The sequence below is a fragment of the Homo sapiens genome, chromosome 1, assembly GCF_000001405.40.
Source record: "Homo sapiens chromosome 1, GRCh38.p14 Primary Assembly".
Taxonomy (NCBI): Eukaryota; Metazoa; Chordata; class Mammalia; order Primates; family Hominidae; genus Homo; species Homo sapiens.
Window position 1 is genome coordinate 58,336,783 of NC_000001.11, and position 18,994 is coordinate 58,355,776.

Consider the following 18,994-nt stretch of genomic DNA (forward strand, 5'->3'; position numbering starts at 1 on the left):
TGCATTAGCTCATTGGCTCCATTTTACAGATGCAGCCTTTGAAAGTTGGAGGTTAAGTGATTTCTCCAAGGTCATACAACTGATTTAGTAGTAGGATTTAAGCCCAGATCTGGGCCCAACACTTTAGCACTTATTGAATGCAGTGCCTAAAACTTGGAAAATAATAATGCTCAGAACAATAAATAAAAGCAAATGCCAGGTGTGGTGGCTCAAGCAAAGGCCGGGTGCGGTGGCTCACACCTGTAATCCCAGCACTTTGGGAGGCCAAGGCAGCCAACCACCTGAGGTCAGGAGTTTGAGACCAGCCTGGCCAACATGACGAAACCCCATCTCTACTAAAAATACAAAAATTAGCCAGGCGTGGCGATGCGGGCCTGTAATCCCAACTACTCAGGAGACTAAGGCAATAGAATCACTTGAACCCAGGAGGCAGAGGTTGCAATGAGCAGAGATCATGCCACTGCACTCCAGCCTGGTTGACAGAGCGAGACTCTGTCTCAAAGAAAAAAAAAAAAAAAAGCAAAGTAAAAAATAAAATAACATAAATTGGAGTAACGTGGTGGTTAAAAGAAAAAGCAGCTTATATAGTAAATAATTTGTACCAGAATAATAAAGTTTATTTTATAAGCATTTTTCTCTTTTCCAGAAACCCAAGAGGCAGTGCTAAAGTCATTCTTTAATGTTATTTGGAATAAATCATTGGTAGCATAATACAGTGGGGAAGAATTTGTGTTCAAAAACCTATTTTAAATCTTAGCTCTGCCATTACTAGTTCTGTGACCTTGGGTAAACTACTTATGTTTTCTTGACCTTGGCTTCCTCATATGTAAAGTGAGAATAACAGTTTGAGGGAGGATCAAATAATGGAATAAACAGGTAGTACCTTATAAAGAAGTATAAGGGAAACACCTTATAAACTGGAAATCATTATAAAAATACATGTGTATTAATCATATATGAAAATGGACACAATCTCTGTATATAAATGGAGAAAGGGGCATATTAACCCGGAGAGACAGTGGTTTGTCATCATTGCAGTCACATGGTAGGTGTTCAATAAATGTTAAGTTCAGTGAGTATAGAGTTTCAGTCATGCAAAATGAAAAAGTTGTACAGATCTCTTACACAACAATGTGCATATAGTTAACAGTACTATTACGTACACTGCCAAGTTGGTAAGAGGATAAACTTACATGTTTTTTCCACTATATATATATATGAAGAAAAGCTTAGCCAAGAAAAAAAAAATAGCCACTAACATTTGAAGACAACTCTTCATTTCAAAAGTTTGTTTCTAAAAGCCAAAGTCACTCTTGAACACCTGGGGAACACCTTCAGGATTTCACACAAAGCAAACCTTTACTTCAGAAATAAACCTTGATGTTTGAAAATAAAAGACAAAAAGCTGTTTCCTGGGGGCAGAGAGGACTTTTCTCAGCTGCGTGAGAGGCACACAGCAACCTGAGAGCTGCTCCAGCTCCTTCATCTCTGAGTCCCCTCCCTCCTCCTGCTCTCCCTCACCTCTCCTTCCCCTCCCACTTCCACCTCACTCTTCCTCTTCTCTGACCCTGCTGGAGTCCTTCATTCCTCTTGCCCATCCTCATTCCCTTCTCTTTTGCAGCTAGCCTTCATATGGAATTAAGGCATAGATATTCTTCAATGTTTGTGGCATTATTGAATCTTTAAAGGTTTTGGTTCCCTATTATTTAAGAAATTTCAATTATTGATTTCACTAAGTAATTTAAGAGTCTTGAACATTTTATATTCAGCCAGTCATCAAATATTTTCTAGGCCACAACTCAGTCTTCGAATATATCCATGAATAAGACAGACAGTCGTTGCCCTTGTAGAGTTCATGGTTTTGTAGGAGTGACAGAGGAAAAAGGAGGCAACCAAAATCTAGTGTGAACAAACACTTGCACAGGAATGTTCATGCAGCACTATTCACAAGAGCTAAAAGGTGGAAACAACCCAAATGTCCATCAATAGATAACTTCATAAACAAAATGTGGTATATCCATACAATGAAAAATTACTCGACCATAAAAAGGAATAAAGTTCTGATTCATACTGTAACATAGATGAGCCTTGAACATAGTATGCTAACTGAAAGAAGCCAGACACAAAAGGTCACATATTGCACCATTCCATGTGTATGAAATATCCAGAATAGGTAAATCTATAGATACGGAAAGTGAATTGATGGCTGTCAGGTTCAAGGGGTAAAGAGGAATGGGGAGTGACTGCTTAATGGCTACAGAGTTTTCCTTTAGGGTGATGAAAATGCGTTGGAACTACCGAGAAGTAGTATCTGCACATCATTGTGAAAGTCACTGAATCTTACACTTTTAAATGGTGAATTTTATGCTATATGAATTCTATGTAATTTTTTTCATGTGTGGTGTAAAAAGTGCTGTGATGGAGTAACTACAAGACGAAACTTGTTTAGGATAAGATTCATGAAGGAGATGTTCTACAAGATGAGATTTTCATTCATTCAACAAATATTTATCAAACTTTCTCTACATATCAAGCCCTGTTCTAGATCCTGGAAATACAGCAATGAACACAATGTTAATATCATAAGCTCTTATCCTCAAGGAGCTTATATTTGGCAGGGGGAAATGGAAGAAGCAACCAAAAATATAATAAATATTTTTCATATTATGTTACAAGGTGATAAGTGTTATGAAAAAATATAATAGAGTAAGGCTTAGTAAGGGGAGTTCCAGAGGATAGTGGAATATAGAGAAATTATCTAGACAAAGGGGAAAATGTTCAAAGGCTCAGGGGAAAGAGAGTCTGACATTCTCACTAAACTTTGTAAAATTTATTTCTCCTCATATATGGACGATATGATTGCTCACCTTCTGGAGCCAGCTTAATCTTTCTCTTTTTTATTCCTTATCTCAGTTAATTTTAACCTATTGAGCTAAAACTTTAGTGTTATTCTTAGCATGTCCCTATTCTGGAAGACTTTAAGATAATTTTCCAAACAGAAATATTTTAGTTGCTTCTCACTGAAGATTTTGTGACACTATTCAGCTTATTAATACCTCATTTAAAATTAATATTTAAAAATTTAAATACAAGATTTTATGACATCCTGCAATTTTAGGAATGATTAGGCCAATATGTTTTCCACTGAATATTTCTTCAATTTTATAATTTGAGTTAACAGGGAAGAATAGGATTTGCTTTTAGAAATTCTAATCACAGCTAATTTTTCAAGAAGATTTCTACCCCATAAAATAAACCAACATTGATTTTACTAACTCTGCAGTAAAAGTTGTAAAAAATAAGGAGAGAGCTAATCGGCAAAAGAAAGACATCTCAAATCAAATACATTCTGGTGCTTTTCTATACAGACTTTTTATTTTACCCATTTGTCAGAGAATATTAACAGAAAGGATTTCCCAACTCCTGCTATAGCGGTTTTCTTCCTGTCCTTCCTCCAACCCACTCACGAAGTCTTTCTATTGTTCTTTATTAGGTGCTAAAGACATCTGTCCCCGTTACTAGGACAACAGTAGAGTAGCAGGAATGAGGATTAAGAGGGAAATCTTGTCACCCTCATGAGCCGGGCCCCTTAAACAAAGAAGCCTTCAACTGAGAAGTCTCTGGTTTTCAACTTTTATTGGATTCTACCTCCTTTACTCACTCCTCCTGCACTCAATCTTCTGTGAGAGAATGCATATGATGAGGTCATTAGAACAGTAATACAGTAAGAGCCCAAACTCATGAGGGACTGCCACTGTGTTAAGATGGAGCCATGCCTTCTAATAATCAAACTCTCTCCCTCATCTAGAATGGATACCAGGGTCTGAACAAATGTGAGGCTTCTCAACTCCCCAAATCACAATAAGTGGCTGACGTGCTGTGGCTGGGCCTACCCTACATGGAAACACAGACATCAGGCTGTAGGACAGGAATGGCCTAAGACTTGACATTGGACATTGAGTTGGAATTCATATCTGTCCTTATTTCTTAATGTGCTTGTAGTCAAGTCACTTTATCCCAAGGCTTAGATAAGGTGTTCTTGTGTGTGAAATGGAATACATACTTCTCAGCATTGTCTTCCATAAGCAGAAAAACTTGGTACATAGGAGGTGCTAGAAAAGGATAAATGTCGAGAATGTTTGTTGAAATCTCAATGTTTTTCCAGACGGCAGATTCAAAGGGTTGTGTGCTTGAGGGCTATGCTGGTAGAACAGCTGGGTGGATGCCAGTATCTTTTTCTCAATTTCTATCCATACATTCTGGGCTCCCTGTGGACCCAGCTAATGTTAGTGTATTATTCACATAAGCATCATTTATTGGATAAAAACAATGTGCATTAATTTGAAGCAAAAAATAATTAAGAATTGAGGGAGAGGAGAAATGTGTCATATGACAGTCAAGTTTATTTTTTACAACTATTTTCTTATGATTTCCAAAATTAGGCTCATCTCTCTCATAATAGTCTATCAGTTAAAAAGAAAGCATTTCAGAGGTTATCTGCTCTGAAGCCGTAACAGGAGGATGGAAAAACTGTGGCCCAGGAAAGTCGCATGCTTCTCCAAAATTGACACCTACTTAGAAGCAAAACTTGGACTGAAACCCAATAATCTTGATTCCCAGTTTCATGCTCTTTCAATCTACTCTACCACTTATGATAGTGGGAAGCAGAGACTATATTTTAAACTGGAAAGAACCTTGGAGTTTACACAAAACATAAAATTCAGAACCATTTATTAAACATAACATCCTTATGAAGTAGATCGTATCTGCAGTTTACAGATAAGTGGAATACTCAGATGGGCTGAGTAACTTACCTGAGATCACAAAAAGTGGTAGTTGAGATTTGAACCCAGGTAGTCTGACTCGAAATCCCAGGCCTTTAACCACTCCTCAACTATGATTTTAGCAGCTTCTATTACCTACTAATGAAGGAGGCAACATGATATACTGGAAAGGACTTAGAATTAGAGTTAGATGACCCTTACTTTCTGCTACACACTAGCTCCTCACAAGAAATTATTTCTAAGGTGATGCGGGCAGATAGTTAATGATTATTTTATTACCACTTTCTCTAGTCTGGTTAACAGTGTTTACCTCTGTCCTGATAGGCTGTAAAGAACACAGTAGGGTCTACATATTTCAGTTTCACCATTGTATTTCCAGCATCTAAGATATATAGCTTGAAAAATGGTAGACACACAACAAATAAACATTTTATTGAATGGAAGGGAGCCTCAGTAAGTCACTTCCTCTGCCTTGGCCTCACAACTTCCATTCATAAAATTAAAAAGCTGTGCATGATCTGCAAGATGACTGCCCAGCTCTGAGATTCTCTAACATTTAATTCCGAAATGCCAAGAGAGACAGTGTGAGTTCCACTGTTTTGGAATGTCTAGATACATGAAACTACTTAAAGACAGTAGCACTTGAGTTTCTAGCAAACTAAAGCCATGATGATAAGATATTTGTAAGCAGAGGAAGCCAGAACTCAGGTGGAATCTGGGGAACTTTGGAGGGAGATGAACTTGGAAGGGCCTATAAGACTAAAAGGTGTCCCAGTGAATTGGTCAGCTTGGATTCACAACCTCAGACTGTGTGGATTTACCATCAATAGGCAATGCCCGTGGGCTGCAGTGATCAGCAACATCCTAATGAGAATGTGGATAAATCAATAATTAGGGTCTGAGCTAAATTAGCAAAATACAGCAACATAACTATTATCCATTCAGTGTTCATTATATATCATCCTTTCTTCTGAACTCCAAGCTCATATACTTAACTGATCACTGGACATTTCCACATGGATGTCACGCTGACACCTCAAGCTCACTCAATGTACCAAAGCTGAATTCAACATCTTTTGGCTCTCAATTTCATTGTTTCTCCAATGTACCCTATATCAAAGTTCATAATCCAAACAAAAATCCTGGAGGCATCCTAGACCTCTCTCAATCCCTTTCCATCAAAACATATTGATTTCACCTCCTTTTTAATCTCTCCAACTTCCTTCTTTCCCCTATCGCCACCCCATAGACCCAGCTTGGGCCCTCATAACTGTTTGTTTTTGTAACTCTCTCTTAAATGATCTTTTGGAGTCTAACATTGGTTGTTCAAATTTGGTGTCTCCACACTACACCCCAAGTGTTCCCTCTAAGATTAAAATCTGGTCAGGTCCCTCCCTGCATAAAGCCTGTTCATGCCTCCTTTGCTTATAGGCTTATGTCCAAACTTCTTATCTTGCCATTCACCATTTGGCCACTGCCTGCCTCCCTAGCTTCATTCATCAGTAGTCTCCTATTTGTCTCAAATGTTCCATCCAGCCCCAACTCCCTTTTCCACAGGTCTGCAGGTCTATAATGCTGGGGGTGACAGTCCATGGTTCTGACTCATCTAGCAGTAGCTGCTAGAGTTTTCTCTACCACTGGGATGCTGAGCTCTTGTCTCTATAACTGGAACATATAGATGGATGGATGGATGGATGGATGGATGGATGGATGGATGGATAGATGGATGGAGAAAAGGAAAACCAGGGAGAAATGTGTGCACTCTAGGTAGTTCCTTAGACTTACACTTTTGAAATGGAGCAGAATGGTTTTCAGGGGCATTCAAGACTCACCAAATCTGAAAGAGAAAAAAAAGCCACACGAGGAGTCACAGATCTGAAGAGTGTGAACATAGACAGCCCTGGGTTAGAGTGTGGTAGCACAAGGTATCAGCTTACTGCTGCAAGGGACACTATAGAGAAAGTTTCAACACAAATAGATGGAAGAGTCAAGTTTGGCTGACAAAAAGTTGGGAGGGAGAAAGACAGAAAGACCCAGAATTCATGTTGTGCTGCGTGAAGAGCAGTGAGCAAAAAGTTAAACCACATTGCCAGCGGCATAGGCTAACACACATCACTTAACCTCTCTAATCTATTTGAGTCATTTACTCTATTTCTCATCTTGTCTTCTCTATTGAAAGAGAGGAGCTGAAATTATGTGCTTTCTAGGGTGGTTGTTTGAGTATAATAAGATAATGATATGAAATGCTTTGTGAGTTGTCAAGTGCTGTAAATACATGGGTTCTGACCATTGTTAAGAAATAGGAGAGGAGAAACATTGCTGTTTAACCTGTGTCCTTCTTTGGGACTCTGTGAGAGCACAGAATGCATTGCTGACTTGTAGTGCAGACCTTCAGTACTTGTCACTGTACCTGACATATAGTGGGCACTCAACAATGTCTCCTTAATGATAAAATGACATTAAAACAGGAGGAGAGACATTTTCATGAAGAGGCTTTGGAATGAGACCAACCTGGATTTGAATCCTGCTATGCCACTTCCTACCTATGTGACCTTAGGCAAGTTACTTAACCTCTCTGAGTCTCGCTGTTCTCAACTGGCAAGACAAGCAGAGCTGCTCAGCTCAGAAGGTTGTTGTTGAGGATTGCACTAATTAATGTTATAGCAAGGGAGCTCCTGAACACATAGCAGGTGTCTTAAAGTGACCCTTGTGTTAAAGAATAAGGAAGATCCTCAAGCATCAGTGATTAAAGGGGTAAGAGAGGAAATTAGTGGTCCAGTGAAGAAAATTGTGATGGTATTGCTGACAATCACTTCATTTTGAACTGTGCCAGGGACATAATTGGTATAACTCAATTTCCTATCTGTTGGGAGTGTGGTGTGAGCTTCAGATGAAACGAGGGCTCATATTGACAACAGAGAATGAGAAGGCATTTGGAAGAATAAAAAGAATGCAGACCTGAGCTGTCTCACCCTCCACCCCCTGCCTCAGTCTTCTCTTCTACAAAATGCGGAGAAGAACTAGATAATCCGAAAAGCCCCTTCTGGATATAAAACTCTGCATATCAAGAAGAAACATAATGGTGGGCTGAGTTCAGTGGACTTGAACTAGAAACTTTTCTATTCTTTTGGCAGATGAAACTGTGTGTTGGTTTAAATACCATTGAGAGGTTAACTAACATCACTGAGAGCCTGTTTTCTCATTTGTAACAGGGGAATATTACTGCCTAGCTTGCAGGATTGCTGCAAGGGTTAAATGAGGTGATAGGCATCTAATGATGGGCACAAGATAGGCTCTTATTGAATACTCAAAATATTATTCTCTATCTTTTTCTCACTACCTTTCCCAAATTCAGCTAGGTCTTTCAGCCTCTCTGTTATATGGCCATTGTAATAGGCTTCTAACTGGCATCCCAGCCTAGCACCTATAGATGCATTTGCTCATCAATGAAGTGAAAAGAGGAAAAGGACCCTTTCCACCCCTTCAGCCCACCTTCCACTGGGCTGCCAGAATTAACCTCAAAAGCACAGTTCTGATCTTATCAGTCTGCTGGTCAAAAGACTTTCATTGTTTTTCATTACCCTGAAACACTGACCACATCTCTTAGCCCACAATTTAAGGCCCTCCCAGACCTTAGCCTACCTCAGTAGTCTCATTTCGCCACTTCTTGGAACAACCCATTTCCCAGCTGAATCAAAATCAACTGCAAGCTCATTTTTTCTACCACCCCCATGCCACCAATAACATCCTTCAATGGAAAAGAATTATGTCTGCTTTGGAATACTGAGAGCCACACAAGGAAGTTTCACCACAGTGCAGTCCAAATCAGAATGTGCTACATCAAAGTGGAAACATTTCTGCATTATTTGTTTTTCTCCTGAAATCAATATTCCCTCAGTAACAAATTCAGCAGGGATGCCTCCATTCCCTGGTCTTCGGGCTTCCCTTAACAGAACAATGTGTAACTTTCCCCATTTCTCTGGCTCTAATGGGGGCTGTCAGGTATCCTCCTCCTGGAATCCTGGCAAAGGATGCATAAATCCAACGGGAAGATTTGCATGACTGTCACATTTTCATTCTAATCAGCAGCCCCTTCCCCCACCTTCTCTGTACTTAAGAGGCCAGAGATACTCCAATCCCCTCTCCTGAGCTTCCCTCGTGCCTAAGAGGACCTCTGGCCTCTGCTTCCTCACCCACCCCCATCCCAGGAGGTTGCAGCCCCTCATTATATAAGGAGGCTCCTGCTAGGAGGTTCATTTCATCTATCAGTGCTGAGTTTCACCTCTGACCTTAGGCTTCCTTGGGGTTATAATGTGCCCTGCCTCCCTCCCCGTCCTGGGTCAATTCTATAGATTTTTTTCTGCTGCCAAGAGCAGCTTCCAGGGACAGGAGAGATTGCCTGCCTCAGCTCAGAGTGAGACACTGAGGAGAAATGGGCCTTTTAACAACTGCAGTTCAGTGATGAGAAAGCGATGGGACTCCATCACCATCACTCAGACCCTCCTCCAAGCCCTTTGCACTTACTAGGTGAAACGGAAAACATTTTGATTAGGCCTAACTGGATGATAGATACGGCAGTCCGGCCCATACAGACACTAAATCCATTTCCTGCTGCAGATGAATGGGCAGGCGGCCTGCAGCCTGATCAAAATTTTCTTTGGCTAGAAGCGGAAATGAAGGCCCCTGTGCCATCACCCACTGAACTCCTCACAATAGCTATTTATTCAGCTTCTATGAGAGGATCCTGTCCTCTGCCTAGGGTCCTCATATTGTATTTGCAACGGTGATGTGTGCCGGTGCTCGTTATTTCATAATATTGTGGAATCAGAGCTGTAAAAATGACTTTGAGGGTCATTAAGTCAGTCGGGTTCAATTTGCTTTTGTTTTATAGCAGCAGAACCATTTTTTGCAAATAACATCCTACATGGTAGCTCAATACAGGAAATGGACAAAAATGGAGTTTCTCTGGATAAGTAATCTTCTTCAGAAATGTGGGGTTCCAGAAAAAGCCCTTTGAAATGCAATGATTCATTTTAATCATGAAGTATCTATAAGCATCTGTGCTGCCACAGCCAGATATGTGATCACTAGCTTAATTAGTTCTAATGATGAGAAGCTCATTACATTACAAATAATATCATTCCACTAACAAAGGACAAGTCATGTAACCTCAATGGACCTCAGGATCCTCATCTAGAAATAAGAGAAAATAATAGCAACTACCTGCTAGAAGGAAACGATGAAACACCATGTGTGAAATGCTTAAAACTCATGAATTCTGTGGCCACACTGGCGAAGCAAGCTACAGGTATAAGTGAAAGGACTAAACTTAGAGTCAGATTGCAATTCAAACTTGACTCCACCATCTATTAGCTGTTTGACTTTGGGCTACTTACCTAACCTCTCTGTGCCTCAACTGTATGGTCCATTTTATCATATGACTCATTGGGTTGCTGCCAAGCTTAAATACATGATAGAAAAGGTACTTTATAAAGCATAAGAAATGATTATGGGTTTGTTTTGTTTTGTTTTGTTTTGTTTGTTTGTTTGTTTGTTTTGAGACAAAGTTTCGCTCTTGTTGCCCAGACTGGAGTGCAATGACACAATCTCGGCTCACCACAACCTCCGCCTCCCAGGTACAAGCAATTCTCTTGTCTCAGCCTCCCAAGTAGCGTGCATTACAGGCATGTGCCACCATGTCCGGCTAATTTTTTTGTATTTAGTAGAGATGGTGTTTCACCATGTTAGTCAGGCTGGTCGCAAACTCCTGACCTCAGGCGATTCACCCGCCTCAGCTTCCCAAAGTGCTGATTGCAGGCATGCGTGACTGCACCCAACCGATGGTTTTAATGAATAGGGTGCACATAGGAAGCCAGCTTCAGCCACCTTGACCTTGGTGGGAGATTGTCAATTACCACTTCAAGATCAAAAAATGCCTGAGCCACCTGGGAAAGACAATCCTTGGAGGTTTATTTCAGTGCTGTGGATCCCAGTAATGTGTCACAAGGTGGAGGAGAACCACCTTTGTGCACAGTGCTAGGAGCTTGATATGCAGGAAATTATTCAACTCCTCTGCACTCAGATCAATTCTTGCACTTCCCTGATTTACTCTTTATCACAGGGAGGCCAAACCCTGCAAACAACATTCCAAGGTTCTCTTGCCAAAAGACCTCACCTCTGTTCAGTTCAGCTGACAGCAGGCAGTAGAAAGAGACTGGAAGAAGGGAGGGAAAGAGAAGCTAACTATTTCTCACCTTGCCCCCTTGGCTTGAGCAGTGGCTGCTTCTCCTCCAGGTTCTAGCTCCCAACAGTCAGCCCCTCAAACCATGATCTGAGCTCCTGCAAGGCAGCCTTACCACTAACTCCGGGTCTTGCCTGACTCCCCTGGGAATGACTATCCTCCAAGGGTCCAGCTCTCACCAGGCCCTGATGCCAGGGCTCTTAGCATTGCCTCATCTCTTTGTACCTGCAGCTCTGGAAGAGGTAGTGGCTTCTTATACTTGCTAATGCTAGGATGACCTCACCTTCCCTCATTGCTCTGTTGGTCCTTTTGCCATTTTGTGACCAATTATTGAACCAACCAACATGGGACCTATTTTCTCCAAACCCCTGGCAAATACACCTCCTAACAACTCTAGGAGGTTGTGATTTTTCCTTATTTACCTTTGAATGAGCAGAGTCTCAAAGAAGCTAAATAATGTACTCAAGATTCAAAAAAATGAATGACTGAACTGCATCCAAACTCAGCCTTCTAAGTCAGTCACTGCTTTTTCCAACAAACCGCAAGCCAGTAAAGAGACCAGTAAAACAACATGAGGCTAGAAGTCTCTAAATGCTGGAGAAATTCATGGCTGTAGTTACAAAAAAAAAAGATGATTTTGTTTGAGGTTTCAGTTTTCTTGATGTTGCTAGCAGATGCTCTATGTTTAAGACTCAAATTTGCTTGTAAAAAGTAGTGATAGAATAAAAAGAAAATTTAAGACTCAGTAGACTCTAGCTTGGGTCTGGCCCTAACTTGGCTATTAGACTCCAGGTAACACTTTATCCTCCTGTGGCCCTGATTTATCCATCTTTAAAATGAAGTTTTAGAACTCAATAATTCAACATTCTGATGCTGTGATTCTAATTATGTGATTTTATACTGACTTTTACTTCACCCTACAATGAGATTTTACACACGTTGGGAAGTTTTTTTGGCACATGAAATGCTAAATTAGAGTAAATAAATGAAGTCTTTGGCATGCCACTCATGAAAGGTTTTTAGATCCTGGATTAAAATGAACAAAGGAAGACTTGGCAGGATACTTCAAAGAGGTGTCTGACCCTGATTTAGATTGTCAAGATGTCATTAGGAAGATTGGACTGCTTGGGGCTGACTGTAGTCCATCTGGAAAAGTTTCATGAAAAAGGTGAGCTCAGAACACAGCTTTGAGAGAGAAGAGTGTCTGGCTCCCTGCCTCCGCCTGCTGTCCCATCCCCACTTCAGTCTTTGAAAACTTACTCTGACCCTATTCAGAGAAATCTGTAAGCCTAAGAGCTTACTGGCACATGACATCAGGATGCTGATCACTCGGACCTTCTTCTTGGCTTGGGCTTGGTTTGAGTATCTGAGCTCCTGGGTTGCTCCACAGCCTGAGCCCCTGCTCTTCTCTTAGTTCCATGAAATTGCAAACAGTCTGGTTTCCTCAGTGCCTGAGATACTGAAGTACCTGTATCTGAATCATCTCCCCACATCCCAGGATGCAAGTCACTGAGCATGAACCAGTGCATAGCGGGGAAAAGCATGTGAGCAGCAATTATTGCTGGTAGCTATTTGAGCCCTGTCCAAAAGAGAAGTTCTCTAGTTCAACATTTTGACTTGGCTCCTTTTATTATTATTATTATTATTATCATTATTACTATTATTATGATATTTTAAGTTCGGGGTACATGTGCAGAATGTGCAGGTTTGTTATATAGGTATGCACATACCATGGTGGTTTGCTGCACCCATAAACCCTTCATCTACATTAGGCATTTCTCCTAATGCTATCCCTCCCCTAGACGCCCACCCCTCGACAGGCCCTGGTGTGTGATGTTCCCCTCCCTGTGTCCATGTGTTCTCATTGCTCAACTCCCACTTATGAGTGAGAACATACAGTGTTTGGTTTTCTGTTCTTATGGTAGTTTGCTGAGAATGATGGTTTCCAGCTTCATCCATGTCCCTTCAAAGGACATGAACTCATCCTTTTTGTGGCTGCATAGTATTCCATGGTGTATATGTGCCACATTTTCTTTATCCAGTCTATCATTGATGGGCATTTAGGTTGGTTCCAAGTCTTAGCTATTGTGAACAGTGCCACAATAAACACACGTGTGCATATGTCTTTATAGTAGAATGATTTATAATCCTCTGGGTATATACCCAGTAATGGGATTGCTGGGTCGAATGGTATTTCTGGTTCTAGATCCTTGAGGAATTGCCACACTGTCTTCCACAATGGTTGAACTAATTTACACTCCCACCAAATGTGTAAAAGCATTCCTATTTCTCCACATCCTCTCCAGTATCTGTTTTTTCCTGACTTTTTAATGACTGCCATTCTAAGTGGCATGAGATGGTATCTCATTGTGGTTTTGATTTGCATTTCTCAATAACAGTGATGATGATCTTTTTTTCACGTGTTTGTTGGCTGCATAAATGTCCTCTTTTGTGAAATGTCTGCTCATATCCTCTGCACACTTTTTGATGGGGTTGTTTGTTTTTCTCTTGTAAATTTGTTTAAATTCCTTGTAGATTCTGGATATTAGCCCTTTGTCAGGCGGATAGATTGTAAAAAATTTTCTCCGGTTCTGTAGGTTGCCTATTCACTCTGATTACAGTTTCTTTTTGCTGTTCAGAAGCTCTTTAGTTTAATTAGATCCCATTTGTCAATTTTGGCTTTTGTTGCCATTGCTTTTGGTGTTTTCATCATGAAGTCTTTGCCCATGTCTATGTTCTGAATGGTATTGCCTAGGTTTTCTTCTAGAGTTTTTATGGTTTTAGGTCTTACGTTTAAGTCTTTAATCCATCTCGAGTTAATTTTTGTATAAGGTGTAAGAAGGGGTACAGTTTCTGTTTTCTGCATATGCCTAGCCAGTTTTCCCAACCCATTTATTAAATAGGGAATCCTTTCCCAATTTCTTGTTTTTGTCAGGTTTGTCAAAGATCAGATGGTTGTAGGTGTGTGGTGTTATTTCTGAGGCCTCTGTTCTGTTCTATTGGTCTATATAACTGTTTTGGTACCAGTACCATGCTGTTTTGGTTACTATAGTCTTGTAGTATAGTTTGAAGTTAGGTAGCATGATGCCTCCAGCTTTGTCCTTTTTGCTTAGGTTTGTCTTGGCTATGCAGGCTCTTTTTTGGTTCCATATGAAATTTAAAGTAGTTTTTTCTAATCCTGTGAAGAAAGTCAGTGGTAGCTTGATGAAACTAGCACTGAATCTATGAATTACTTTGGGCAGTGTGGCCATTTTCATGATAATTGATTCTTCCTATCCATGAGCATGGAATGTTTTTCCATTTGTTTGTGTCCTCCCTCATTTCTTTGAGCAGTGGTTTGTAGTTCTCCTTGAAGAGGTCCTTCATGTCCCTTGTAAGTTGTATTCCTGGGTATTTTATTCTCTTTGTAGCAATTGCAAATGGGCTCGTTTAAGGGAACAGATATCTATTTAAAGAAATGGACTCACATTTTTGGCTCATAAACCCATGCATGGTTACAACCACTACTTTCAAAGAGTCAAATATGTGAAACAGCCCGGAAAGATCAAAAGGGATTCATAGGCTCAAATATCTCATGTCCTTCTCACTCCCATCTGCAAGAAGGGGCCCTGATAGATTTTGACCATAAGATTCAAGAACTCTCCATTTCATAGCCTAATGATCAGTGGGAGTGAAGGAGGTGGAAGGAGATGGAAGAAGAACAGACTTCAAACACATTGAATTGTGTTTGAACCTTGGCTCGGTAGATGGCTAAGTGTTGGCCTAGAGTAAGTTCTCCAGCCTCTCTGAGTCTCAGTTTCCTCATTGGTAAGGTGAGAGGTCAATGTACTCTTCATGCATGCAGAGCCAAGAAGACGCCCATGCCAATCTAGAAAATGTGATAGATTATCCCTTGGGGCAGTAACATCACTGGGAATGTAACAAAAAGGAAAATTTCAGATTTACCAGGATTCCTGTAAGGTTAAAAGATCAATGTTAATCTTTGCAGGGAGATGGGGGAGAGGGGTGTGGAGAGGAGGCAGCTGTTGAGACCCTTAAGAAGCCTGTTGAGCCATACTAGATGAATGCTTTTCTAAGGACGGTGAGTCTAGGTAACCTCAGAGTTGATATTTTCAGGGAAGTTGGAGTAGGATGGGAATGCAAGTTAAGGGCCAGAGTGAAATGACTGAATTGCACAGGATAAATCAGGAGCCACTGGCCACTTCTGCCACTGGGTCCTCTTCTTTACTCCTCCGCCATGAAGCCCTAGCCTCTCCTTTAAATCCATCAGCTTGAAGGCCTGCTCAGGGCATCCTGTTATCTCAGACATGTCTCAGTTGGCCTGACTTGCATATGTAAGCACTTCCTACAGTGCACATGCATAGGAAGCACTGATTTTCTCTCCAGAAATCCCTATTTTTCTCTTATGCCTAGATGCCTCCCCTGCCTCCTCTAAATTAACCTGTGCTGAGGACATAATGTAGGGAAATGGCAATCCTGTGTATATGCCAGAGTCTTCTTCAAAATACTGTGCCTGAAATCATGTGTGCAACTCAACCTTCCTATTAGTAATAATAATAAATGTATATTGAATATTTTAAAACGCTGATGAGGAAGTAGAATTAGTCACCTGCTAATATGGTCAGACTCTAAGTACATAGCCATCCGGCATGTATCTAACATTTGTAGAGAAAGGGACCACCATTTAGGGATGAGTAAAGTTTAGAGATTTGATCAAAGGCAACAGCTAATAGGGGTAGGTCTAATTTTCCAAACTCCACTCTTTCCACCTCAGTCCAGCACAGTAAAAATAAACTATCGGAAAAGTGGGTCTAAACACAATCAATACATTACACAACTCCAGGGGGTGCTATTCACACTGTGGTCTACTGCTATGGCCTGAATGTTTGTGCACTCCCAAAATTCATATGTTGAAATCCTAACCCCTAAAGTGATGATATTGGGTGGTGGGGCCTTTGAGAGGTGATGAGATCATGGGAATGAAGCCTGATGAATGGGATCAGTGCTCTTATAAAAGAGAGCCCAGAGACTCCCTCTCCTTCTGTCATGTAAGGATACAGCAAAAAGAGAGCTGTGTATGAACCAGGAAGTTGGCCTTCACCAGACATTGAATCTGCTGGTGCCTTGATCTTTAACTTCTCAATCTCCAGAACTGTGAGAAGTAAACTTTTGTTGTTTATAAGCCACCTAGTTTACGGTATTTTTGCTTAGCCCAAACGGACTCAGACACCTACATAAATGCCACTGTCTGGAGTTATGCCACGCTGCCGAATCGAACCTCCACCAAGAAACCCTCATGCCACTTTTCCCAAAGGTCCCCTTCTTTATTTGTGTCCTCTATCATAAACTCTGTGTTTTGAAATATTTTTTTCTGATCAAATAGACTGAATTTTTAAAGGACCAGTAAATTATTTTCCCATCATTTTAATGAATCAAAATACACTAAAACAGCCACTGACATTTTGATCACCAGGAGATAACCACGGTTACTGTTTTGAGTTGATTTCATTCCAGCCAAACACACATAGATTTGACATTTGAGTTAGCCTGTGAAACCTTAAAACAGGTGTTTCTTTTCCCTTAGGCCTTCTGATATATTAAGAATAACTAAAGAAGCTGACTGCTACCAGGACATTAATGCTTTACAGATTGTATTAGTCTACAATATTCTGCTTTAGGAACCACAGACTTCCCTGTACCAAAATGGCAAGGTTAGTTAGTTGTTTATCGAGTTTAAAATTAGTGGATGGGGAAAAGAAAAGAAAAACAGAAGTCAAGGTCTTTGTAGAAAATACCACAAAACACATACTCAAAAAGATTTTCCATGTTTCAATTAGATTTGTTTACTTGAGCAGAATAGAATGAAAAGCAGGAAAATGCCAACAATTCTGCATTCTTCTTTATTCATCAAAAAGGAAAAAGTGAAGAAGAAATGGAATTACAATGTGTTTTATCTACTATGTGCAAGGAACTATAAAAGGATAATGATCACAAGAACTTTTCTTGTTTAATAAAAAAAAAGAAAACTGAAGTTTCATTTAGTTAAGTAAATTGTCACATATCTAATAAGTGATAAAGCCAGGATTTGAATTCAAGATTTCCTGGTTGAATGTCTAGGTGCATTTTTGGTGCATTATGCCATTCTACCTCCCTGCGAAGAAAACAATTCAAAGAACCATTTCCAAGCTCTTGCTTTGTGTCAGGCATTCATTTTCACTAATTGAACAAATATTTACTGAGGCTCTAGTATGCCCCAGATGCTCAGCCTGATACCTCTGGTAGCTCATGGTCTAATGGAAGAAGCAAGCATGTAGCTCAGGGAGACTCTGATAGGGATGTAATGACGGTGGGAATAAACTGATGGAGGGGTGCAGAAAAGAGAGCTTTCTTCCTTGTTGTTTTTTTCACTATGGTTATCTCAGTGCTCCCAGATCTACGAGAAAGGATGGTCAGACCTATTCGAATTCAAGCGAGGAATGACACTTGGGACACATCAACACGGGCTAAGGTCCCATTCCTTGTAACATATTATAAAACATGTAGCACATAAACCTGCCCCATCAAGGGAACCAGTGTAATTGGTGCACCTTCTCTCGTAGCATTTAAGGTGTTATCTCTATAAATACAGTGCATTTTGCTTTAATAAAAAATGAATTTTCCAGAACAGTGACAGTATTGACCTTACATATTATCCAAATAGAAATTGTAATGAAACAAGTCGAACAGTGAGTAGTTATAATAGATATGCAAATATTGGTCTTTTCTTAAAGGTCTTTCGGCCTACTCACACGTGTCTCTTATGTGTCTGAGAGGGTGGATTCAGCCTGCATTTATAATCTAGGAGGACACAGAGGAGGAAGGGAGAGGGAGGAGGGGAAGTCTGTCAAACAATCACAGAGGATAAGAATCCAGGAAGATTGTGCTAGAGTCCATAGCTTCAGAAATGGGCTTTGGGGTAACTGTTCTGTGTTCAGTGTGTTCACATGTGCAGTATCATTTTATCCACACCTGTGACACAGGTATGGCTGCTGTTATTTTATGAATGAGAAAACCAAGGCTCATAAACATGTGTAACTTGCCCAAAATCACACAGCTGACAAATAGCATCATTAGACTCTGTGCTCCAATCTTCCCCCTCTAAGTTAGTTGATTTTTCAGCTCAAATTTACCTGGACGAGGTCCAGCTATAATCATCAAACGGAATCTATACATTTATTTCCTGAATAACTCAATGGATATTTATTGAACGTCTCCTGTGTGCTGTTCTGGGTGTTATAAGAAACTTAAAAAAGCTGAGAAATGGTTTCTGATCTAAAGAGTTCACAGGTTGTCAAAGAGATGTCTACAGACTTCAGAGACTTAAAAATGCAATTGAGGGAAGCAAACACACAACTCAACTCTCCTGAATACAACCCTACCATGAGCCTTTTTCCAAACTCACCAGCCAGTCTCCATCTGTAAAGTGGCACAGCTTTGTTTCAGAGTTTGCATGCAATGGCAAATGTGAATTGAAAGGCTATATTGTTCAATCTTTAATTATCTCTAGATAGAGTGTACCTTTGGTGGTCTACCAGTGGAAATTTCTAGATGGTTTATTGAGCAGATGGGATGCAGCCATGGAAGAGTTTAATTTTTTTTCCCCATCACTATTTTCTCTCAAGCGCTGATGAATCTATCCCTTAATAACAAGCCTGGCAGACCTCTCAGCTTTCTTGTCACTTTCACGAATAAAAATGTCCAGATTAGATTAGTTTAAAACTTCAATCTCACCCAATTTGATGCTCACTTTTTCCTTCCACTCCTTTCCTGGTAGGCTTAGGTATGAGAGACTTGTAGGTGAGAGAAGGCATCTGCCCCCTGGAGACCTCCTCTTCCCCCTTATTTCCTGGGATAGTGGGGTACAGGTAGAAATCGTATGGGATAAACATCTCTTATCTCAGGCTATTTCCCTCTTTTCTTGACTAACTTT

At 40.4% G+C, this 18,994-nt stretch overlaps 1 protein-coding gene across 1 annotated transcript in view; it reads right to left on the minus strand.

Annotated features, from left to right (window-relative positions):
* Nucleotides 1-18,994, minus strand: part of DAB1 (DAB adaptor protein 1) — a 1,551,949-nt gene that overhangs the window by 1,342,005 nt on the left and 190,950 nt on the right. Inside the window, exon 4 of the mRNA NM_001379461.1 lies at nt 6,570-6,621. The gene's annotated coding sequence lies outside the window, so the exon portion shown is untranslated. The remainder of the gene's footprint in view (nt 1-6,569; nt 6,622-18,994) is intronic.